This window comes from Homo sapiens, chromosome 3 (genome assembly GCF_000001405.40).
Source record: "Homo sapiens chromosome 3, GRCh38.p14 Primary Assembly".
Taxonomy (NCBI): Eukaryota; Metazoa; Chordata; class Mammalia; order Primates; family Hominidae; genus Homo; species Homo sapiens.
The window spans coordinates 125772743-125798951 of record NC_000003.12 but is presented as its reverse complement, the minus strand read 5'-3'; the positions used below and the strand labels follow the sequence as shown (position 1 = coordinate 125798951).

The following is a 26209-nucleotide window of genomic DNA, read 5'->3' as shown; positions in this document are numbered from 1 at the left end:
ATGTCACATTCCTATTTCTGTAACTTCAGTTAAATCTGCTCTGAGTCCCTGGATGCCTGGCAGGTGGAGAATTCAATCTTGTCGTTACCAGCATTCCTTCCACTTCTCCATGGGCTTATGTAAGAATTCTGGGCTTACACACTGTTGGAAAGCCAGGTAGGAACTACATCCCCCGAACTCTCCGTTCTTCCAGCTGCTCATGATCCATCAGCCTTTTTTGGGCTATCTTGCTATAACAAGACCCTCCTCACAGCATCATTCCACTGACCCACAGGCTCAGCCCCAGGGACCCACACTATAACAGGTCTCCACTATGCCTAGGAACTCACAAAAACCTTCTCTTCATCTTGGCTTCCTCTGATATCCAGCCACTCCCCCGCTTCTCACCTTAAACACAGATGGCAGCTCCTTCCCATCATTCTAAACCTTGGGGATTGTCCAGCCAAATTCTCTTCAGACACCAAAGCTTCACCCGCCCTCTTCAGGGAGATGATGCAAGGGCATCTGAGATCTTTGGAAGCCCAATTCTGGCCTCTCTTTGGGGTGGGCTGAGATTGGGAACTGGACTCTCTTTTCCAAGTGCCATGTTTATCTTATTCATCATAATATTATCTCCAATGCCTGGTACATAGTAGGCACTACAGACTGACACATAGTAGGTGCTATTAGTGTCTGTATAATGGGACTCTTGAGGTTGAAGCTATTAGCAGAAACCTGCCAAGCAAAAGGATGGAAAACCGACCACCAAAAAAAAAAAAAAAAAAAAAAAAAAATGAAAACAATCGTGGCTTTGAGCTCTAAACACACAAGGCACCAGCCCAAGTTTGGGCAATTTTAATACAACAGCCATTTTGCCTCCAAACAAACTGGCACTGGAAACCTCCCTCTGCCTCTTAAAGAGAACCAGTTTCTGTTTCTCTAAGTGGGCAGCATTTCTCCCCAGTGGCAGTACCCAGCCCACTGCCACCAGCAAAGGACTGCAGCCAGGAGCCAAGAGCTTGATAGTTTAAAGAATATATTTTATAGGGAAAAACAAAGTAACATCCACATAAATCTGGAACTACCACCACTTTCCAGAGGCCGAATCCCATTTGTGGAGTCTCTTGCATCTCAAGCACCTTGCAGTCAGCTCAACTACATACTTTTGGGATTCATTGCAGAGAAGAGTGAAGGTTATCTGCAAAATAAAGGAACCAGGGCTCAGAATTCCCAGAGCAATACATGACAGGGGAGGTGAGTAGAAAAGGGAAGGGTGAAGCCAAAGGAGAGAAGTCAATGAGTTGGCCAACACCAAGCAAGGATCATGGGACCCTCTCTATGGCCCCACATCTCAAATGAAGTCAACAAAACCCATCAATGCTTGGTGTAAGTGTTGTATGCTCCCGGAAATGAAAGCAGGGGCCACATTTCAGGTCAGTAGGGTTGGGGGTAGAGGCAGCAGTCATGGACTTGTGGGCCTTGGAGGATGGGATGATTCTGAGACATTGAATCCCTACACTGATCTCAGTAGAAATCTCAGGTAGGGCTTCAACATTCATGGACCAAGGACTCTGCAGGCCTGAGAGCAACAGCCTTGGTGCATGTCCCAGCTCCATCAATCTCAACTGGGGCTTTGAACAAGTTACTTATTTTTTTAACTAACGTTATTTTAATTGACAAATCATAATTGTACACATTTATGTGATGTTTTGATATGTGTATACAATGCGGGATGATTAGATCAAACTAATTAATATGTAGATCCCCTAATTTACTGACAATTTTTATGATGAGACATTTGAAATGTACCCTCTTAGTTATTTTGAAAGATACATTATTATTGACTATAGTCACGCTGCTGTGCTATAGATTTCAAAGCATATAATCCAACAACCCAACTTCTGGGTATAGACAAAAAAAATCGAAATCAATATGTCGAAGGGATCTCTACGTTCCTATGTTCACTGCAGCACTATTCACAATACCCAAGATGTAGAATCAACCTAAGTGTCCATCAATGGATGAAAGGATAAAGAAAATGTACTATATACACACAATGGAATACTATTAACCCTTAAAAAAGAAAGAAATCCTGTCATTTTCAACAACATAGTGAACTTGAAAGACATTCTGTTAAGTGAAATAAGCCAGGCACAGAAAGACAAATACTGCATGATTTTACTTATATGTGGAATCTAAAGAAGTTGAACTCACAGAAATAGAGAGTAGGACAGTGGTTATCAGGGGCTGGGGTGGAGGAAAGGTAGGGGATAGGAGACACTGGTCAAAGGGTACAAAGTTTCCAATAGGAAGAGTAAGTTTTGAACAAGCTAAACTCCTCTGAAAGCTCAGTTGCTCATCTGTAGAGCAGGGACACATCATTAACCTTCTAAGGATGTTGCTGTGAGAGTAAGAGATGATGTTCAGCACAATACCTAATGCACAGTCAGGTCTCCTTAAGCTTGAACCTGCATCGCCATGACCTCTACATCTCAGGACAGAAAGGCTCACAGCCAGTGTCTCAGTTCCCAGTGAAAAGTGGATCCCAGACCAGGCTGAACAGTAGGATCCCTAGGGGATACCCCACCCTACTGAGTCAGAATCACCAGAGGTAGAGCCTGGGTATGTATGTACGTGTGTGTGTGTGTATGTATATATATATATGTATGTATATATGTATGTATAAGAGACAGGGTCTTGCTCTGCAGTCCAGGCTGGAGTGCAGTGTCACAATCATAGTTCACTGCAGCCTCAAATTACTCCTGGCCTCAAGCTATCCTCCCACCTCAGCCTTCAGAGTAGCTGAGACTACAGGCGCATGCCACCAAGCCTGGATACTTTTTTTTTCTTCTTTCTTTTTGGAGAGAGTCTCACTCTGTTGCCCAGACTGGAGTGCAATGGTGCAATCTTGGCTCACTGCAATCTCTGTCTCCCAGGTTCAAGTGATTCTCATGCCTCAGCCTCCTGAGTAGCTAGGATTACAGGCATGCACCACCACACCAGGCTAATTTTGCTTTTTTCATTGTTGTTTCTTGTTTGTTTTTCACAAATAGGACTTCTTCTTTGCCACTGTTTTAAGTCTGAACTTTAAACGATTCTTGAACTGGTGGTTCATATCCATCAGCTCATTCAACTTTAGCATGTGTCTTGTCCCTAGTGGGTTTTCCAGAACTACTACCGTCACCACGAAGCTCCATGCCTTTCAAACCCAGGGTTCTCCAGCATTTTTACTTTTCTAATGAAGACATCATGGAGAGGATAAATTGGCAAGCCTTTTCTACATCTTTTCCAATGTTGTCTGGAATCAATTTATTGACCACTTCTTTCAAGTCATTTGTCTGCACCTCTCAAGTCATGATTTCCATCATATTCTTCTGGATTTGGCGGACTGTTAGTGCTGAGCATAAGACGTCTTCAGTATCTGATTGTTGTGTTTTTTAGTAAAACCAACACAAAACAGATGAAAGAAGTAACCATCGGTAGTCTTGACATCAACATGAGCTTCAATCATTGTTGAACAGTTTTCAAACATGGAACATATTTTGTCACAGGAAAGACCCATGCCATAGAAGTTAGTCAGGCAGTTTTTGCCCTGAACATCTTCAGTAATCAGCTTGAGTTTTCTAAATGCAACTTCATCATTCTGCACATCAGCAAGACTCACTTCAAACACAAGACCCTTGAGACCATCAGATGCAATTTGGGTTCCTTGGGTCCTGGTGACCAAGTCTTTCCAATATTTCCTATATTGAACATAGCAGGTGCTTTCACATCATACTGATCTTTCTTAGAAAATGGATCAATTATTTTCTTCTTAACTCCCTTTTTGCCACCTTTCATAAGGCACTTGTTCTTAACAACTGCCATGGTGCTGCTCAGAGTACCAAAAGGCTAAATTTTATATTTTTGGTAGAGACGGGGTTTCACCATGTTGGCCAAGCTGGTCTTGAACTCCTGATGTCAGGTGATCTGCCCGCCTCAACCTCCCAAAGTGCTGGGATTACAGGTGTGAGCCACTGCACCCAGCTGATATTTATTTTTTCTTTTTTTGTACAGACAGGGTCTTGCCATGTTGCCAAGGCTGGCCTGGAACTCCTGGCCTCAAGCAATCCTCCCACCACAGCCTCCCAAAGCACTGGGAATTCAGGTGTGAGCCACCATGCCCAGCCTGGAATCTATTTTTAAAGCCAATTAAGTGTTGAATAAAATTGCAACTTGGGCTGTTTTTTCTTTGCATTTTTTACATTTCAATGGTTTTTAATATATTCAGAGATATACACAAACATTACCAGTCAATTTTAGAACATTTCATGACCTCAAAAAGAAATCTCATACTCTTTAGCTAACACCCCCTATCCTCCCATGCCCCTACCAGCCCTAAGCAACCACTAATCGACTTCCTATTTCTATAGATTTCCATCTGAATGAAATCATGTAGAATGTGATCTTTCAGCTGTTTGAAGGTTCATCCACGCTGTAGCGTATGTAGTTTCCTCCTTTTTGTGATCAAATAATATTCCACCATGTGGGTAGACAACAATCGGTGTATCTCTTCATCTGGTGATGGGCATTTGGATTTTAGCAAAGTCCATTTAGAAAGCTCAATGCTTTGGGCTTCCACTTGCTTTGCTGCCTCTCTCCTCAGAAGGAGGCTTCATCCTTCCATGTAACCAGCAAATCCTTTATGCAGAGATGTACACAACACACTCCTCTCCTTGGCTATGACACCTTGAAAGGCTCCTCTTGGTGGCCCCTGGTGCTCATTTCAGAGTAGTTCTAATTAAGGTGATCAGCTTTCATGCCAATCACTCTACAAATCACTCTTATTATGACCAATTTTTCTAAATGCTTTATTGAATTATTACTTAAAGAAATGTGCACATAGAAGAAGTCAACACAGTACTTTTCTTACAAACTGAACATATTGCCCAGGCGCAGTGGCTCATGCCTGTCATCCCAGCACTTTGGGAAGCCGAGGTGAGCAGATTGCTTGAGCCCAGGAGCTCGAGACCAGCCTGGGCAACATAATGAGACCCCCTCTCTACAAAAAATAAATAAATACAAAAATTAGGCAACAGTGATGGCACATGACTGTAGTTCCAGCTACTCAGGAGGGCTGAGGTGGGAGGGCTGCTTGATCCCAGGAGGCAGAGGCTGCAGTGAGCCATGACGGTGCCACTTGCTCCACCCTGGGTGACAGAGCAAGATCCTGCCTCAAAACAACAACAACAACAAAACCTGAACATCTCCATATTTCCGACACTCAATTCAAGAAACAAAATATTAGAGCCCCTTCCAGGATATTCCTGGGGTCTCTTCCATCTCTACTAACCCCTGACTACAAACAGCCTCCACCTATTTCACCTGACATTGTACTTTATGAAAGCAGCAGTTCTCAGATGGGGCTATTTTGCCCCCTGGGGACATTAGGCAATATCTGGGGACAATGCGGTTTGTCTCTACTTGGGGGGGGTTGTGTTACTGCATCCAGTGAGTCCAGGGATCCAGGGATGCCGTTCAACATCCTAAAATGCACAGGGAACCCCCACACATAGAACAGAGAAATTGCTGAGCCAAAATGTCAGCAGTGTCACAGCTGACACGCTGACATACACACAATCACACAGTATCTGCTCTTTCGTGCTCAGGATCTCTTTCATTCTAATCATCTCATAGGAAACAGAAATGTCATTTGGAGGTAGGTAGAGTCCAAAACAAAGAAGATCCAGAGTTTTTTTTTTAATCAGCCTGGTGCCTTTAGAGCTAGGATTTATTTTCCATTCTTTCTGTCTCATTTTCAAGTGATTTTTCTTCAAATGGCATCTGCTGGGCTCAACACCCAGAGATCCCCACAAAGCTGAGATTCACATGGGAATTTTGTACACACCCACACAGGTATACACTGCCATTTACATGCAGACATCCACCCACAGATACACACATCCGGAGACCAAGACAGAAAGCAAACTCCAGCATAAAAGCATGGTTCCCCGAACAGGAGAAATGCACCATTCACTCCAGGGAGGTACCTATTTGTTTAATTCAGCCTCTGATAGTCAGGCTGTTGCCAAGCCCAGCTCTGAAAGTCTTCCCCTCTAGGAAAGAGAGATGGATTTTTTCTTTACTCAATAATATAGATCTAAAAAAAACAAACACTTCTGCATCTCAAAGCAGGCTCTACCTCCTGAGCTACACATATTGATCAGCATTTTATTGTCAATTTTCTTTTATTTGAACTGGAGAAAAATATAACCTAATTATGTTCTTACTGACACTTTGGAATCAGTTACACTAAATCCAATTCTCTGGGTTCTCATGCTTAATGTGTTTAATTTGGGGGACAACAAAGCAAAAGCATTGGTCGTGTTTTAATATAATCAGTACAGGATATATCTAAGGGGTTCAAGTATCACTGTAGCAAGAAGCTCATTCTGCAGTAAAAGGGGGATTCTGCCACTAGGATTGAGTTAGGGTGGTTCATGGCTGCACCATTTCATCAATGTCTCTTCAAGGGTCCATGGAATGTGGAATGGGAAAGACTGAAATATTCCAAGTCTTGGCTAAGCTTTTCTTAAGGGGTGTTAGGAGCTGATAAAATAACCTGGTCTTTATAGACATCCCACACTGTAGTTCTCTAAGCTACAGATTCTCAGATTTTTCTATTTTATAAACCAGTAAAAATATTTTTTTAATTTGAGAACCAACATAAGGTTGCAATTTTTTTTTCTTTTTGGTAAGAAGGAAATTTTTTAAACTACCAGTTTCACACACACACACACACAGAAATTCCAACATGATTGGTCAGAATAGGTGAGGTTTTGCTGCAATAACAAACAACTCCTAAATCTTGGTAACTTCAAACATCAGAAGTTGTTTTTCTCACTCATGCTACATCTGCAGGGAGGTATGGGATGCTCTGTTTTCCATCAAACCTGCCCTAAGACTAAGGCTAATGGGGGTTGCATTACCTCGAGTATCACCAAGCAGGGAACAGAGGGAGAAGAATGCTAGAGAGTCTTGTACTAAGAATTAAATGACCCAGGCTAGAAGTCTCACACTGCACCTCTGCCCCCAGCCTCTTGGCCAGTGCTAGCCACATCCCCTCCCCCACCACAGGGCAATGCATGAAGACAGGAGAATTGGATACATTACAAATTTCTACCCCATGGCATTTCATAAAAGAGAAAAAATGCAAATACAAAAATGTTTTAATAGAATAGAATATATACATTTTTAGAATACAGAACAATCCTCCAAAAAGGACAGCTGGTGGTCTTTCACCAATGGACACATTTCTGTGACATTTTCTCTGTTTTTCCATTTTATACTTGACCTATGAACATTTTGTACAGATGGTCCAAAGAACACCATTTGGGGACCACTGCTCTAATCAGGTGATGAAAACGGCCCCAAGAACAGAGCACAGTCTCTTTAGCAAAGACCCAGCAGGGCCAGGGTGACCATACTCTCACCATCAATGTGCAGATATCCACCTGCAGCATCCTCACATCCCATCAAACAGTGGCTCTTTATAGCTTGATTCTGATGTCCTTTGATCTTCATAATCATTGTAAAGCTCTCTGGCCCCAAGATCTAACATCGCCACTCTAGCTACATCCTGCAACTGTTCACCACTCCTGCCTCCTCATCCCTCTAGACTTCTCTTCACAACCTCATGTTTCCTTCTTGCTTTACTTTCCTGCTCAGCCTGGACCTTACAGTCACCTTCCTGTAATGTGCTCCTAAACTCTTTCTTCCCTGCTTTCAACCACACCCACCTGGAAAATTTCCATACCCCACTGATGACTTGCCTTGCAACTGCCCAAGGGCTGCTGAATGATACTGGAAAGAATCACAACATGGATCTGGTAGTTCCACTAAATAATCTCACCATCCAACTCTAGGGTAGACTTCACTTCTGTTCAGCAATATTTTTAAGCATTACAAATAAATTCCGAACCATATTTGCTATAACAATTGACTTTAAACCTCTTCCATATCTCAAAGTCCCCCAAACCCATCCCTAGGGGTTTCAGGGCCCAGAGTTGAGTTCTCTCAACTCACTTCCATCTCACCCCTAGATCACTGTATCTTGACCCTCTTCCTCTGCCTTTCCCATCTTATAAGGAGAAGCATCCTTCTCCTTTCCCAAGCTACCTTCTCCACTTGTGCCTCATTTGAGACCTCCCTTTATCACCCGTTTCCTTGGAACTCCCATGACTCACCACCTTCACTTGTCATTTCACTCATAAATATTTTGCACCATGTATGTGCCAGGCGTTTAACATATAATCATGCTAAAGTCTCCACATGCTAACAAGAAAAACCTTGATTATCCCTGCTATGCCCTCAAGTCATTACCCTCCCCGCTCCTTTCCTGTGTTCCCAAACTTTGTTGATCTTCATCAATCCCTCTGATGCAGATGGCTCTGAAGTTTGCACCCTATTAGGTTGGTGCAAAAGTAATTGCGGATTTTGCCATTAAAAGTAATGGCAAAAATAGCAATTATTTTTGTACCAGCCTAGTATCTTTTCTCCTTCTACCAAACTTTGTCCCTGAGCCATCTCATCACCTATAACTACCTCCTCCATGCAGTTGATTCCCAGATCTGTATTATTCTACTGAAAATCCATTCCCCAACTTTCTTGGCTAGAATAACAGAAGCCCAGTTAGAATTCATGATACCAGTTTCCCACCACCACCACCGTCGCCCTGCCATTGTTAGCAAAACCATCTCTTGAGTGGAGCTCAAAGATTTGTAATCCCCCACTCCCCAGAAAGATAACTTCAGACTCAGCCTAGAAGTAAAGATCCTCCAGATATGGCCTCAACTACCCTCCAACCCATGTCCCCAGTGCATCCCTTTGATGCCCACTTCGGTGGAGTTAAAACGGAGTGAGTGTTTTTCTTTTCACATACTCCTGGTGTTCTTCCACAAATACAATTTTCACCTCTTGAATATTTTCAAGGATTCTCTATGCTACACACAGTGAAATCCAAACTCCCCATCAGGACCCCAGTCTTCCCAAATGCTCTTTGCACTTTTCCACCTCCATGCTTTTCCTTGGATCATCCTCTTCTCTAATATAACCTTGTGTATTACTCTAGGTTCTCCAGAGAAAGAGCAGAGAGATAGAGGTAGAGCTATACACATAGAGAGAGACAGATTGTTTTGTTGTAAGGGATGGCTCACATGGTTATGGAGGCTAAGGAGTCCTGGAGTCTGCAGCCAGCAAGCTGGAGACCCAGGACAGCCAATGATATAGTTCCAACTCGAGTCCACATCTAAAGTCAGGAGAAGATTGATGTCCCAGCTCAAATATAATCAGGTAAAAAGAGCAAATTCTCTGTGACTCTACCTTTTTGTTTTGTTCAGGTCTTCAGTGGATTGGATGAGGCTCACCCATATTGGGGAGGACAATCTGCTTTATTCAGTCTACCAATTAAACATTATCCTCATCCAGAATACCTCAGAGACACACCCAGAATAGTGTGTAGCCAAATATCTAGGCACCCCACAACCCAGTCAAATTGATACATAACACTAACCATCATGTCTTGCTTCTACTCTCTCCCCATTACTGCATGTCCAAATCCTTCCCTTATTTCAAGGCTTAGTTCAAATGTTACCTCTTAACTAAGCCTTCCCTGCAAACCCCAAATATTAATAGAATTGGTTTCTCCCTTCTCTGATATCTCAAAATACGTTGTGTGTTTCTCTTTTACTGTATTTATTACAAACTCCCTTATAAATCAAGACAATGATTCCCAGACAAATTATCAGAAGAGTATAAAAGAAGTCTTCTTTGAGTGTGAAATATCTCATGGAATATAGCACATGGCCTCTTCACGAAGAAACTACTAGAAGAGAAGAAGACAAGCTGGAAGAGGCCAGGGAAAGGGGGTTAGTACAAAACACAATGAGGCTGGGCTCATACAGTGGCTCACCTGTAATCCCAGCACTTTGGGAGGCCAAGGCCGGCAGATCACGAGGTCAGGAGATCGAGACCATCCTGGCTAACATAGTGAAACCCCGTCTGTACTAAAAATACAAAAAAGTTAGCCAGGCATGGAGGCAGGCACCTGTAGTCCCATGTACTCGGGAGGCTGAGGCAGGAAAATGCTGTGAACCCGGGAGGCAGAGTTTGCAGTGAGCCGAGATTGCACCACTGCACTCAAGCCTGGGTGATAGAGCAAGACTCCATCTCAAAAAAAAAAGAAACACAATGAAATGTCAGTGGATGGGTGCCTATAATTTCTAAGGGAAATAGAGTATAATCCAAGAATTTTATAGCCAGGTAAATTATTGCCCAATCAAAATAGGCAAAAGACACTATCACATGTTCAAGAACTTAAAGAATACAGTATTTCTGAGCTCTTTAAAAAAAAAAAGTCTTCATAATAAAATTTAGTCAGCCAAGAAATTACAAAATAAGCAACTTGTGAATTGAATGACCATGACAAAAGGCTAGTGATGAGAGGTGAATCCATTTAAAAATAGGACTACTATTGCAGAACAGAAAGAAAAGGTGGTCAACCTTAACAACATAAAACAACCTAGAAATAACTAGTTTCCAGAGGTAAAGGGAGGGACTGTAGGAAGTAGAAGTGCTAATGCCCTTTATTAAGCCAATTAATCAGGTCTAAAATTGAAACGTGGTTTCAAATATATAACTTCTTTTTTATTTTCCTCCCTAACTACCTGAGGATCAACCACCATGATGAATGACACAGTAACTATCGGGACCAGGAAGTTCGTGACCAATCGACTGCTACAGAGGAAACAAATGGTCATCAATGTCCTTCACCCCAGGAAGGCAACAAAATGTACAAGACCACAATGGGTGTCATCTTAATAGTCGGACTCAGAACCCATTTTGGTGGTGGTTAAACAATGGGTTTTGGCATGTTATCTGGTTCTTTGAATTATGCAAAGAAAAATGAACTCAAACATAGACTTGCAAGACACGGCTGGCATGAGAAGAAGATGACCTCAAAAAAACAGCAAAAGGAATGCAAGGGCAGAATGAAGTCAAGAGACTGCAAAGGCCAATGTCAGTGCTGGCAAAAAGCAAAAGGAGTAAAGATTTTGCAATGACTTTATTTGCAGTGACTGTACAAATTTTTCATGAGATGATCAGTCAACTGTAAAGACTTCTACATATATATAATACATCTTAATATTTTTCATCATCTTTGATTTCTTAGATGTTCTAGAAACTGATTTTTAGTGAGGAAAAACTACATTTATCTGAGTTGACCAGTTCGTTCAGTTTCACTTCCATTTCTTTTTCTTCTGATAAATTTACACAGCATTCAATTTGCTACTTCTTGTTTTTAAAATCTCATTTTGTGTGATCAGAAGTATCTGTTCATGTCTCTAGCCATCTTTGTGCATAGCAAGGAATGCTGTTCACTTAATATTATGGAGGTTTATTTCTTGGGGTCATGAGATTTGGGGTGATTTCTCTCCCTTTTTGTACTTTTCGGTATTAATTTTTTGAGACAATGTCACCAATGTCCTTCATATTAATATTTGGACTCAGAATCCCTTTTGGTGGTGGTTAAACAATCATCACCCACATTGGAGTGCAGTGGTACGATCTCAGCTCACCAAACCTCTGCTTCCCAGGCTTAAGCGATTCTTCTGCCTCAGCCTCCCCCGTAGCTGGGATTACAGGAACGCACCACCACTGCCTGGCTAATTTTTATATTTTTAGTAGAGATGGGGTTTCACCTTTTGGCCAGGCTGGTCTTGAACTCCTGACCTCAAATGATCCACCCGCCTTGGCCTCCCAAAGTGCTAGGATTACAGGCATGAGCCACTATGCCCAGCCTTTTCTGTATTAAATTTTTTAAAACACAACATTTAAAATAATCAAGTCATTCTTTTTGAATCTACTTTGTATTATAGGTATCCAAATACTCACCTATTCTCTCTCACATGATGACAAACTTGTTGAAATGTCATTTCATTTTGTGGCTCCAGCCCCAGGGATTCTGACTCTGATTCTAAAGGGTCTGCATGCAGAGCGAGCAAGCTGCCTGGATGATTCTCTTGCAGGTGTTTTAAGGGCAGGAGTTTGAGACACCCTGATGCAAAAGAACGAACCCTCAAGGAAGTTGGCTGTACATGTATTTTCCTTCCTAGCACAGGAAATGACAGAGAGATTATCCAATCAGTACCACTCATAGCACCTGATTATACGTGCATGAGGAATTCAGAAATGGTTTGATCAAGGTTGAAGACCTAAAAAGAGGCTTTTCTCTTGGACACCAAGTCCCCATCTCATGCGTGGTTGAGTTAGTAGAAACTGAGGATGATGCTTCTTCCTCCAGCATTGGTATCCCATGGTTTTTGTTCAGTTGATGAAGTACCTCCATCCCCCAACACCCCCAAGCTCAATCCCAGTTTCCTCACATACACTTTTTTTTTTTTTTTTTTTTTTTGAGACAGAGTCTTGCTCTGTCACCCAGGCTGGAATGCAGTGCAGTGGTGCAACCTCAGCTCACTGCAACCTCCATCTCCCAGGTTCAAGTGATTCTCCTGCCTCAGCCTCCTGAGTAGCTGGGATTACAGACATGCACCATCATGCCTGGCGAATTTTTGTATTTTTAGCAGAGATGAGGTTTTATCATGTCGTCCAGGCTTGTCTCAAACTCTCGGCCTCAAGTGATCCACCCACCTCAGCCTCCCAAGTGCTAAGATTACAGGTGTGAGCCACCGTGCCCAGCCTCCTCGCTTACACTTTTACAGAAGATCTGATCATACCCACTCCGCAGAAGTCAGAATGGCCCCCACGTGGTGTTGAACGGGAGTGAAAATTTGAGTTCCATCAACTGACGGTGACACAGAAACATTTCCCCCAAGATGCTTTTGGCAGCTCTGCTGATCCATAACCTGGCTCCATTTCAGGGCAAGAACTCCACTTAAGCTGCACTGGCTTCCACTAGAGTAAATCACATTAACTCATGGAAAACACAACTGAAGGGCAAAAAGATTCTTTTTAAAATGATTTTTGTCTCTCACTTACCAACACACGCTGGCCTCCCTATTGCCTGACTCCATTCAACACCTGTTCCACTGAGCACCCACTGAAAGCTCAGCTCATGAGCTGAGATGACCCAGACATCAAGGAGTTTACAATCCAGGGGAAGAACAGACCTGAATACAAGTGATGACAATACAAGATGGAGTCAAAGAGCCCAACTTGAAGTTTCAGCAGAATAGCACCAAAGACTAGTTCCCAACCCAGCTCCCAGAGCCAGAGCCAGAGCCAGAGCCAGGCTGGCTGCATGAGATCAGCTGGGAGCTTTTGCAAACGTAGGTCCTAGCTGAGCCCCTAATCATCACACTGGGAGTCACTGGGAGTGAGCTCCAGGAACTGGTTTATTTAATAAGCACCCACACACACATGATTCTGATGTTCCTAAGGGTTGTAGAAACATGGAACTATAGAAAACACTAAAAAAAAAAAGGCACTAAAAGAAACCTATAAATATTCACTACCATCCCAGGCATCATGAGGACTCTCCAAGTGCACTATTTACAATACTTAGAATAACCTGGAAGGGAAGCATTCATTCATGACGATGGGCTTTATCGGGATCAGAGCCAGCCCTGGGAATGCTTCAACCTGTGCTGAAGGTCACCCCCTCCTCCCCACAGGAGGGGGCTAACATTAAGGAGCAGGGCCCAGATGGGAAATGGAGTGTCCTTTTATTATGAGACCACAGTGAGAGACTTTTTTTTTTTCCACAGTGTCATTCTTGCCACCCAGGCTGGTGTGCAGTGGTGCAATCTCAGCTCACTGCAACTTCCGCCTCCTGGGTTCAAGCGATTCTCCTGCCTCAACCTCCTGAGTAGCTGCAACTATAGGCGCCCGCCACCATGCCTGGCTCATTTTTGTATTTTTAATAGAGACAGGGTTTCACTATGTTGGTCAGGATGGTCTTGATCTCTTGACCTCATGATCCACCTACCTTGGCTTCCCAAAGTGCTAGGATTACAGGTGTGAGCCACCACGCCTAGCCTGAGACTTTCAAGTAAAGCCACAATGGACCACAGAGCTTAGACATCAGGGCTAACATGGAATCTCTGTCATTAAATCTTGAGCTCTTATTATCTTTGCTCAAAAAAAAAATAATCACAATTGACATTTTGAGGACAAGACATCTGAATGTAAACTTGATCTTAGAGGATATTAAGGAATTACTGGTGATTTGATTAGGTATGACAATGATCATATAAAGAATGCCCTCATGTTTTTAGAGGGAAAGTAAATTATGTAGGGGTGAATATCATGATGCAATTACATAACTATTGTAAACAATTTTTTAAATACTTCAGAAAAAATGGAGTAAATATTGCACACTTTAATAGTTTTTAAACCTATGTGATGGGTATATGGTAGCTCATTAAACTAGTCTCTCTACTTTTATGTATATTGAAAATTTTTCATAATAATAATAATAATAAAAACCTTGGCCAGGCACAGCAGCTCATGCCTGTAATTCCGGCACTTTGGGAGGCCGAGGTGGATGGAGGACTGCTTGAGCCCAGGAGTTTGAGACCAGCCTAGACAACATGGTGAAACCTCATCTCTACAAAAAATAGACAAATTAGTCAGGCATGGTGGTGTGCACCTGCAGTCCCAGCTACTCAGGAGGCTGAGGTGGGAGTATCACCTGAGCCCAGAAGGTCAAGGCTGCAGTGAGCCAAGGTCATGCCACTGCACTCCAGCCTGGGCGACAGACCCTGTCTCAAACAAACAAGCAAACCAAAACCCTCTTGATCCCATTTCCCAAAAAAATGATTTTGAGATCTTACCATCTCCTGGCTTGGTGCGGAGTACAGGAAATCAAGACAAAGTACAGCACACAAGGAATAAGGAGGGAGGGAAGCGTGGGGGAGGCTGACACTGTGGACTCTCCCAGCTCAGTCGACCCATGCACCTTGCTTCATGGAAGAAAGGAATGGAAGATGAATCATGCCTTTCACACACAGTGACCTTCCTCACTAGTAAATGTGCCTCCAGAAGTGTCCAAGAACTCAGTGCCAGAGCCAGGCTGGCTGCATGAGAATCACCTGCGAGCTTTTGCAAACATAGGCCCCTACTGGGTCCAGATGTATTCATCTCTTGGAGAGGAGGAGAGAGGCAGAACAAAGAAAAGGATGGGAAGAAACCAGCCCTGTGCACAGGAGGATCCTGGGATTCCTCCTGCACGTTTAGTGCAATGCAGCCTATTTTACAAGGTCACAGAAGCTCAGAGAGGTAAACCTGCCCAGGTTCTCATAGTTTGTAACTGGCAAAACCTGCCCAAATCTCTGTCTAGAGATATTTCCACTTGCTTCAACTCTGGAGCTGTCTTAGTTGTAAAGATGAGAGATTCCACTCATCATTCACTTTTGTTTGCAGATATTGCCTAAGGTACCTTGTGAATATTTAGGTCAGGGCTGTTTTTTTGAGTTTTTTGTTTGTTTGTTTCTTGGTTTTTTTACAAAGCAATCTTGTGGATAGAACCCAAAGTGGCTCCGCCATTTAAGACCCTGTAAACAGGGAGACCAGAGTCTGGAGTCCTGGTCTGGTTTCCACACCTTCCTTAGATTTCCCTGTGTGTAAAATCCAACAACAATCTTTGACAAATTGCCTCCCCTACGGGAGAGATGGAGGAAGTGTTAACTTCGCTTTTTTTTTTTTTTTTCTGTTTTCAGACAGAGCCTCGCTCTGTCACCCAGGCTGGAGTGCAGTGGCGCCATCTCAGCTCACTGCAACCTCTGCCTCCTGAGCTCAAATGATTCTTGTGCCTCAGCCTCCTGAGCTGCTGGGACTACAGGTAGATGACACCACACCTGGCTAGTATTTGTATTTTTAGTAGAGATGGAATTTCACATATTGGCCAGGCTGGTATTGAACTCCTGGCCTCAAATGATCCGCCCCCCTCAGCCTCTCAAAGTGCTAGGACTACAGGCATGAGCCACCATGCCCAACCACTTTGCTATTTTTTTTTAATAGACAGCTTCGAGGTCCAGCATGAGTTCATAGCTTAGGAAACATCACAGGCAAAGAAGAACACTTTGCATTCAAATAGCAGAATGTTTTCATTTTCAAAGAGCTCTCACCTGCCATCTAATCTTGTCTTCCTAGCAGTCCTGGGAGAGAAGCAGACGTGGTTTCCAATCCCACTTTCCAGAAGAGGAGACTGAGGCAGAGGCTTTGCAGATACACAGAGGACATGTGAGGACAGGTGAAGGTCATGATCATTGTCAGCCCCCTCCCCCAACTTGACATTCCCAGATCTGGTGGACTTCCAGCCAGAGGAGAAAGAAGGATTGGATCACTCAACTCTGCCATGGGTGCCAGGACCAAATTTTTCCCTGGCTAACTCGGTCACATCCTGTCTGGGATCTCCAACTACTACCCATCCCACAAGTCTCAGCTAAAACAGCAATTCAACGAGGAACTTTTTTCTGAGGCTCCAGGATTGGGCCAGGCCCTCTCCATTGCTCTCTGCCCTTCCCCTACTGCAGAACTTAGCACCTGTATGTCACTATTGGTTCAAACATGTGTCTTTCGTATGCTCTCCACGTTATCTGCAGCATCTGCCAAGAATAATAATGGATGGTAAAACCTAATCTCTATTGAGTGTCGATGATGCACTTTTAACGTGACATCTTATTTAATCCTCACTATATCTGCAAGAGTAGAAGCTATTAATAGCCAATTTTCAGATAAGAAAATCAAAGCACAGTTTCTATAACTTACCCAAGCAGCTAGCTAGGAGGCAGCTCAGTTTGAGCCCAGGGAATCATATTCTAGAGACCGTGCTCTCAATTACTAGAGCAGGTACCTCCCCAGAATCTAGCAGGTGGTTAACGAGTCTTTGTGGAATAAATGAACAGAAGGACAAGCAGATGGATGGATACATAGGTGGGTGGGTGGATAGATGGGTGGATGGAAAGATGGGTGGGCGGGCAGGTGGATGAATGAATGGATGGTTGAGTCGGTGAAGGGATGGCTGAGTGGGTGGAGAAATGGATGAGTGGGTGAGGGGGTGGAGGGATAGATAAATGGATGCACAGGTGGGTGGATAGATGGGTAGATGAGTGAATGGGTAGATAGATGCATGGGTGAGTGGATGGATAGATGGGTTGGTGGGTGGGTAGGTGGATGATAGCTGGGTGCATAAAAGAGTGGGTTGGATGGATAGATGGGTGGGTGGTGGGTGGATAGATGGTAAGGTGGGTGGATGGATGTATGCATGTCTGGATGGATGGATGGATGGAATGGTGGATGGATGGATGGACAGATGAACAGATGGACTTGAGCATTTATTCAGGGTCCTCCAAAGAATTGAATGATTTCCTAGGGTGTGTCATCACCTGCAGGTGGGTGGGCAAGGGGGCTTGCCTCTGTAATACTCATGATTATGGGTAGTGCTCAGCCTTAGTCACCACTCTCAGAACACTTTATTGACTAGGAAAGTCAAAACTGGCATTGACAACTAGTGCAAATTACAGCTATAACTAACAGAAGATGTTGAGTGATGACAGCTGGGCAACCAATAATCAATAACTTGGCTGTGTCATGTTGCTGCCATGCTGGACAGGTAGAGCCACGGGTTCCTTGATCCTTCCATCACATTGAGGATGCTTATCAAGACTTCCCCAACCATGGAGACAGGGATCTTATCAAATTCTTGCAGTTCACCCCAAAAGGCTCACCCTCTTCGTTCCACCTGCACATGACCTTCAGCTCAAAGACATTTCCAGTCCCCCAGGTCAGCCCTTCTTCCAGCCTTTGAATTAACCCTGATGTCTGCCTGCTCATTAGGTATCTTCACCTTTCATCACACAGCCTTTTCCAAGGCTTTCCTTCAGTCCAGCCCTCACTAAACGCTGGAACTGTTGTTGACAAAATCCAGAACAAGCTGGCTGGGGGATACAGGTGGGAAGCAGGCTGTAGTAATGGGGAAAAATTCTAAGCAATCTCAAACACAGAAAAGAAACTGAACAGGTAAGAGAGAGGCAGACAAGAGGAGAAGTGTGAATTTTGCATAACTGAAGCTGAAGAAGAGCGGGGGGCATGGCAGACCACAAGGTAAATATGATATAGACTCCTTTTTAAAAAAATATAAACACCCACCCTTTCCTACAGACAACTGTGCTTCAAATATTGCTAAGGTCTTTACTAAAGGTGAGTCAGAAAAACTGAGTATTTTATGCAATACAGTAAGAAGGCCCATAGGCAAGCATGTTCCTGACACCACCTTCTAGGATAACCCCTGGGATTCTGGTTACACCTGTCCTAAAGTTGTCTCTCACTCCTGCTGTTGGAGAGCTACCATGAGAGAAGAACCATAGTGAAGTGGTTAAGAGTGTGCACCCAGCGACCAGCCAGATCGCTTCAAACCATCACTATCTAATACCGAGCAAGTTACACAATGTTCTTGAGCCTCAACTTTCTCATCTGTAAAATGGGTATGCCGTCATTCATTAATCAAATTCTAGGTAAGCATATACTAAACACCAGAGACACAAATGAGAATCAGGAACAGGCATGGCCCTGGCCCTCACGGTGACCACAGTCTTGAAGGGGAAGGATGACACGCACAGAAACAGGAAGCCGTAGCTGAGCTAGTGTCTACCACAGAGAGGCACCTGGTGTCATGAAAGCAGATAACAGGGGGTTGCTGTGACTGAGTCAGTGTGGCCAGACGTCCCTGAGGATGTAGTGACTCCACTGTCAGATGAGACCGTGACCAGGTGAAGAGGCAGGGAGAGGGAAAATCTTTCCAGGCAGAAAGAGCAGGATGTGCAAAGGCCCTGCGGCAGGAAAAGAGCAAAGGAAGTGCAAGAGCCTGAAAATGGCCAGAGAGAACAAGTGAACATGTGGATAATCACAGCACCGACCTCATACAGGACTGCTCAGGATACCCAGGACAGAGTCCTAGATGCTTGAAGTCATGATAAGTATCCAGAATGACACAGAATTCCAGCCAGGCATGGTGGCTCATGCCTGTAATCCCAGCACTTTGGTAGGCCGAGGTGGATCACCTGAGGTCAGGAGTTCGAGACCAGCCTGGCCAACATGGTGAAACTCCCTCTCTACTAAAAATACAAAAAAAAAATTAGCCGGGTATGGTTGTGGGTGCCTGTAGTCCCAGCTACTCAGGAGGCTGAGGCAGGAGAATCGCTTGAACCTGGGAGGCAGAGACTGCAGTGAACCGAGATTGCACCATTGCACTCCAGCCTGGGCAACAAAAGTGAAACTCCGTCTCAAAAAAGAAAGAAAGAAAAAATAATGACACAGAGTTTGCTAAAGGGGGAGAAAAGGCTTTCTTCCAAAGCTGGGCCTGGTTTCTACAGAGAGTCTTTCAGATGAAAATTAAGCAACTCTTTGCAAGCAGCTCTTTGCAAGCACCTCAGAGGAGAACCCCTCACCCTGATGAATCAGGCACACAGATGGATCCAAGACAATTGGCTGCGTGCATGTGAACAAGCCCATGGTGGAAATGCAGTGCTTTATTTGTTTGGGGTGGTTTAATCACCAGGAGGGTGAAGCTTCTAAAGCAGCATTCAGAAGTGGCTGTTGACTGGGTTTTCTGGAAGGGGGAGGTGGTGAGGATGAGGGCTTCCATTTCATCTGCAGGCCCCTTGCAGAAGGAGCTGGGGAAAGCTTTGCAGCCATCTGCACACTGTTTGCCATCTTGTCTGGCTGGGCAGCCGAGCTCCAAATGGGGGCGGATGGGATAGCTCTTGCCACTGTATTTGGAGAGAGATGGCAGGGAAGTCAGCCCCCATGAAGAAGACAGGAGCACACAGGTGCTGGACAGTGCTGTCTAGACCCCTGGGGCTGAAGTGCCCAACCCCACAGCCTCTAGGTGCCACTAAAGGGGCCCAAGGGGATCTTTTCTGTCCATCTCCATCTTGGCACCTACAGACACTTGGAGAGAGTCCTTCACATGGGAACTCACAAATGCACACTGATAACCCCCACACGGAACTCTCATATGTAGCAAGTGAAAAGACAGGATGCCAGTTTAACTTGAATTTCAGACAAACAACAAATCATTTTTAGGGTAAGCAGGTCCCAAATATTTCATGGGATATATTTGCACCAAAAAAAAAAAGTGGTTAATGAGAAATTCAGGTTTAATTGGACTTCCTGTATTTTACCTGGCAAGCCTAACCCTGCATAAACACAACCCCGAGCTTGAAACTCACAGAGAAGCCATGGCTGTGATCACACACGTGCACAAACCCATATGCCTTACAGAGTCAAGGGCTGTGACGAGGGGGTCCCCACCCTTGCACACTTCCCTGTCCTCTGTCTGGGTTCAGAGCAAAGAGGGGGTCAGCTGGCATCCACATCTAAGCTGGGCTTGGAGGTGTCCTAATGAAGCAGGATGCTGACCTGCACTTCCCCAGCTCAGCGGGGGCTGCAGCCAGGCCTAGCTTCCAGTCTCGGGCCTAGAACACACAGCACAGCCCCAGACCTTGGCAAGAAGTCTTCATCTCAAGGGCCACTGTCTCAGGACCTATTAGAAGCCCCACTTCTTTCCTCTGTTTCTGCTGCCATTGCCCCAGTCTCTGACCCTGACACTCAATCACTCTATAAACACGGCAGGTACTAGGGGTGGCTCTGGGCTCGGCACTAAAGACAATGCCCCTGGTAAAGCCACAGTCTACCAATGACAGTCAACCACGTATCAGCAACAGCCCTGCCCCACAGGTGCTGACTGCGCACAAGGCCGGCGCTGTGAACTTGCTCTCAACAGTGATCTCACTGAACCCTCATGGCAGCTCTAGGATGCAGACAGTAGCATCACATTATCCCCATTTTACTTTTGAGGAAACTGAGGCCTGAAAAAGACAAATGCAGGCCTCGAGATTTGCAGTAACATTGCCAGGAATGTTTGAGAAAGCAGACTTCTCCAGAGTGAGGCAGTCTGCCAGAGCTCAGAAGCCAGAGTCCCTGTTAGCAGGGGCTGGGGGGACGGTGGGGTGTGGGCAGACAAGCAGGTAGGGGCTGGACCCCCCAGGACACCAGGGTGCAGACTGGTGTGAGTAAAAGAAAGAGAGGCGGTCATGCCATCATCTGCAGAAGATGATGTCTACAGAGGACAGTACCATGTGAGCCCTTGGGGAGCCGGATGACTGGATGGAATTTTGCACAGGATGCAAATTAAGCACAGATCCGCCTCTGACCTAGACAGCCCACCTCCAGGAACATCTCACAGAAATGCAGGCACAGAGCACCAAGTGGTGTGTGTAAGGAAATTCATCAGAACACCGTCTGTGATTGGGAAAAGGCGGAAACCATCCAAAGACATATAGGTGCAGGGCTGGTTAAACGAAGCATGGTGCATCCACACATCAGAATACCTGCTGGGAGAAGAAGGTAGTACCCAGGTTCCAACGTGAGACAATGTCAAAGACATGCTGCCTGAAAAGCAAGCTTTCCAAAGAATAAATGTAGCATTATTCCATTTTTACTTTTTAAAAAAGGTTACAATAAACACTTACGTGCAAATACATGTGCTTGAGTGCACAGAGGAAAAAGGTGTGGACAGGAACAGAAAACCAAACTCTGCGGGTTCTCACTCATAAGTGGGAGTTGAAAAATGAGAACACATGGACACAGGGAGGGGAACATCACACACCGGGGCCTGTCGGGGGTGAGGGACAAGGGGTGGAAGAGTGTTAGGACAAATACCTAATGCATGCGGGGCTTAAAACCTAGATGACGGGTTGATAGGTGCAGTAAACCACCATGGCACATGTATATCTATGTAACAAACCTGCACATTCAGCACATGTATCTCAGAATGTAGAATAAAAAATAAAAAGAAATCAAAGAAAAAGGTGTGGAGAGGTATACCCCAACCCTTGCCAGTGTTACCTCTGAGAAGCAAGATCAAGAAAAGCAAATCAAGAGGATGTTTTGTTTTTTCTTTTTATATAAATTTTTTTTTTTAAACATAGTCTCGCTCTATTGCCCAGTCTGGAGTCCAGGGACACAATCTCGGCTCACTGCAACCTCCTCCTCACTGCAACCTGCTCCTCACTGCAACCTGCTCCTCACTGCAACCTGCTGCTTCTGGGTTCCAGTGATTCTCTTGCCTCAGCCTCCCAAATAACTAGGATTACAGGTGTGCACCACCAAGCCCGGCTAACTTTTGTATTTTTTGTAGAGACAGGTTTTCACTATTTTGGCCAAGCTGGTCTCGAACTCCTGGCCCACACGCCTTGGTCTCCAAAAGTGCTGGGATTACAGGTGTGAGCCACCATGCCTGGCCTGCATTGCTTGAATTCTCAGACCACATGGACCCTCTCATCTGGTCCAATTGCAAGAGTCCAAGGCAGGAAAGGCAGAAGGCAGGGGCTTACCCCTCCATCAGGACAACTTAGAACAGAGTCGAAAAGAAAAACATGAATGGATCAGTCAAGAGGGCTGTGCCCATGACTTCCCAGGCACCTACACCTTGCAACTTAAGCCGACAAGCTTTCAAGCCAGAGTCTTCCTTCCTAGAGACTAGCAAGGACACAAGCCCTGGCCAGTCCCCTCCAGGAGGATGGTCTGAGGGATAAGGTGGGGGGCACAGTCAGGGGTGGCAGGAGGAAAGGTGGACACGAAGCCAAGGAAACCAGGGCACCCCATGCTTCCTGAAGGCCACCAGAACAGGGCGCCACACAGAGCCCCTGTGTACCTGTTTCTACAACAGCCTGAACACAAGGAAAAGGAAAACAAGGAAAATACACAAAGCCCAGCCTCACCTGGAGCAGGTTAAATAAAGGTGTGTGACTTCATGTCCTTTGGAATTGGAAATCCAAGCTTCCTCTTCTGTGCCTTTAAGGTCCTGGCTGCTGCCCCAAAGCTCCCTTCTCTTCCCTCCTCCTCTTGTCCTGACTTTTTTGAGATGGAATCTTGCTCTGTTGCCCAGGCTAGAGTACAGTGGCACAATCTCAGCTCACTGCAACCTCCACCTTCTGGGTTCAAGCAATTCTCATGTCTCAGCTTCCCGAGTAGCTGGTATTATAGGTGTCACCATGTCCAGCTAATTATTGTATTTTTAGTAGAGACAGGTTTTCGCCATGTTGGCCAGGCTAGTCTCAAACTCCTGGCCTCAGGCGATCCGCCCACCTGGGCCTCTCAAAGTGCTGGGATTACAAGTGTGAGCCACCATGCCTGGCCCTCTTGTCCTAACTCTGCCATCTCTTTGCAGTCTCCCCTGAGCAGCTTTTCCTGGGCTCGCCCTGCCCCCCTCCAGAGCTGCACTCTCAAACCACCCCCCAATGCCCCCTGGCCCTGGCTCCTGCCCCGGGGCTCTGATCCTCAGCTGGTGAGGTCTAGAGGGTCAGAGGGAGCCAGACTCCCTAGAGAAGCTAAGGCAGGAGCCCTGTGCTTAGGCAGGAGCTAAGCTAAGCTAAGGCAGGAGCCCTGTGGGTAACCTGCCCCCTTCCAGCTGGGGCCAAATAGAAGGGGGAAAGGCTGCCCCCAGAATACAGGGCTCTCAGGGGCCCTGGGGATCTGTGCTGGCAGTCAGGAGGACTGTCACCTCAGTGCAGTTGCCTGCAAGGAGGGCTGTGCAGGAAGCTGCATGTTGCTCAGAGAACAAAAAAAAAGGAAATTAAATGCACCATCTGGTTATTGGCAAGAGCCTTTGAGACAGACACTTAAATATGCATGCCTAGACATTATAAAACTTGGGGGAAACGTTAATTTCAATAACGCCACTTCTTGTGCTTGCAGACACCATTCTTTTATCTCCCTTCCTAGTAATTTGGGGGCTCCATCCCTCAGAGTGGCAGCGCCAAGACAGCTGGCCTCACTGGGTTTTGTAAGCTGTGCAAGGTGAGATCCCAAGCCCTTACCTGGAGACCCATCTTAGGAAAATGTTAGAACAGGGCAACAAGTTGCCATTTCCTCCCTCCTTTCTCTTCCCCATACAAAAATCAGAAAGCACACTAGCCCAGTGCCCAGCCACAGTGGTGAGGAAACCCCACTCAAAATCCTGGGTTGTGCCCCTGATACCAAAGACCTGCAAAATTGGGACTCACCTGCTGCAACCCTAGCCCAGACTTGTGTACATTTCAGGGGTGGCTGGACTCACGGCCGCCTGGGACGTCAGGGTGGTACAAAGTCCTCTTAATCTAAGACTGTCGCGGTACAAAGATAAGCATTTTTTTTTCCCTTTTCTTGAGAGCCAGATGGTAAATAGTTCAGCTTTGCAGGCCATAGGTCTCTGTCCCAACTACTCAACTCTCCATTGTAGCAGGAAAGCAGCCACAGACAATATGCACTGAAATGGGTGTGGCTGTGTTCCAATAAAACTTTATATGTGTGAACAGGCAGGGGGCTGGTTGTGGCCTGTGGGCTACAGCCTGCCTCCTCTGCTACAGCGTGATCTCCAAGGACCGATCCATCTTGTAGACCAGCAGCTGGCACACAGGAGCTGCTCAGATACTTGAAGGAGGAATGGAGAAGGCAAGCAGCCCCCAGTGTGCAGACATGAGGGTCTCCCAGCAGCACCATCCTTTGCCATCTCATGCTGAGGGACAAAGCCAGAGCAGGGCTCTCCACCAAGGCTGGATTCTCCTCCAAGGAAATGTGATAAGAGGACAGAAAGCACTGTGGAAGGATAGGGGCTTTGGAGTCCCACAAACCACAGTTTGCAAGACCAGGAGCATCCTACACTTCCTTGCACACATCCTGGGTGGGTGCTGGAGCATCTAGACTTAGAGTGAATCTTTTCCCCCTCCTCCCCCAATTGGCCTCCATTACACTTCCAGCAACAATGTAGTGTACGTACACAATGGAATACTATTCAACCTTCAAAACGAAGGAAATCCTGCCATTTGAGAAAACATGGATGAGCCTGGAGGATATTATGTTAAGTGAAATAAGCCAGGCACAAAACGACAAATACCACATGATCTCACTTATATGTGAAATCTAAAAAAGTTGAACTCGGCCAGGCATGGTGGCTCATGCCTGTAATCCCAGCACTTTGGGAGGCTGAGGCCGGCAGATTGCTTGAGCCCAGGAGTTCGAGACCAGCCTGCATAACATAGCAAGACCCCATCTCTACAAAAAAATACAAAAATTAGTGGATCGTGGTGGTGCATGCCTGTACTCCCAGATACTCAGGAGGCCGAGGTGGGAGGATTGATTGAGCTTGGGAGGTCAAGGCTGCAGTGAGCCAAGATCACACCCCTGTACTACAGCCTGGGCAATAGAGTGAGATTGTCTCAAAAAAAAAAAAAAAGAAAGAAAAAGAAAAGAAAAAAGTTGAATTCACAGAAGCAGAGTAGAACGATGGTTGCCAGGGTGGGGAAGTGGGCAGATGCCAAAGGACAGAGAATGTCATTTTTAGAGAGGAAGAATAAGTTCAGGATATCTATGGGACAACATGGTACCTACAGTTAATAACAACATATCATACACTTGGAAATCACTAAGAGAGTAGATTTTTTAAGTGTTCTCACCATAAAAAAATAAGTCTGGGAGGTGATATGTTATTTAGCTTGATTTAGCCATTTTGTAATGTATACATACTTGAATCACATCATGTTGTACCCTCTTGTACATAATTTTTGTCAATTCAATAAATTCAACAACTCCAAAAAACAAGACATTCTTTTTATAAAATAATTATTAAAAATAAAATTCAGAATTCTATTTTATTTATTTATTTATTTTTGAAAGTCTCGCTCTGTCACCCAGGCTGGCTGACGTGCAGTGGTGCGATCTCGGCTGACTGCAAGCTCTGTCTCCCGGGTTCAAATGATTCTCCTGCCTCAGCCTCCCAAGCAGCTGGGATTACAGGTGTGTGCCATCACACCTGGCTAATTTCTGTATTTTTAGTAGAGACAGTTCCGCCATGTTGGCCAGGCTGGTCTCGAACTCCTGACCTTAGGTGATCCGCCAGCCTCGACCTGCCAAAGTGCTGGGATTACAGGTGTGAACCACTGCGCCTGGACAGAATATAAAAGATTGTTTAATTCAACTAAAACATTAAAACATAGATTATTTCTATAAGTGGTAATTGTTCTAACATGTTTTGGTCAAAATAGTCTCCTTACTCATCCACAATTAAATGGTTAATTGACATTTGATTGGATTTTGATAAAGTTTTCAAATCATGATTGACTTTTCCAATGTACAGTAAAATGTTTGAAAATATTTCATAAAAATTAATATTTAAAAATGGTCAGGCATGGTG

The 26209-nt window shown here is 45.0% G+C and overlaps 1 protein-coding gene, 2 long non-coding RNA genes, 1 other non-coding gene and 2 pseudogenes across 6 annotated transcripts in view; 3 read left to right on the top strand and 3 right to left on the bottom strand.

Moving 5' to 3' along the window:
- LOC112267908 (translation initiation factor IF-2-like) overlaps positions 1–26209 on the bottom strand; it is a 92138-nt gene that overhangs the window by 49378 nt on the left and 16551 nt on the right. The gene's annotated exons all lie outside the window — the stretch shown is intronic.
- On the bottom strand, positions 999–24238 carry LOC105374312 (uncharacterized). Its single transcript, NR_153417.1, has 2 exons — positions 24045–24238; positions 999–1177 (listed from the first exon to the last, which is right to left on the bottom strand). It is a non-coding gene; the product is annotated as an uncharacterized LOC105374312 (long non-coding RNA).
- On the bottom strand, positions 3023–3870 carry RPS3AP14 (RPS3A pseudogene 14; annotated as a pseudogene).
- Positions 8400–8548, top strand: MIR548I1 (microRNA 548i-1). Its single transcript, NR_031687.1, has one exon. It is a non-coding gene; the product is annotated as a microRNA 548i-1 (primary transcript).
- RPS24P9 (ribosomal protein S24 pseudogene 9) lies at positions 10702–11304 on the top strand (annotated as a pseudogene).
- Positions 12658–16616, top strand: LOC124909424 (uncharacterized). Of its 3 annotated transcripts, none has more exons than XR_007096054.1 (2): positions 12658–13304; positions 16132–16616. It is a non-coding gene; the product is annotated as an uncharacterized LOC124909424 (long non-coding RNA). The 3 variants fall into 3 exon arrangements; XR_007096053.1 differs by lacking the exon at positions 12658–13304 and adding an exon at positions 14926–15255; XR_007096052.1 differs by lacking the exon at positions 12658–13304 and adding an exon at positions 14926–15255 and having other exon boundaries at positions 16129–16616.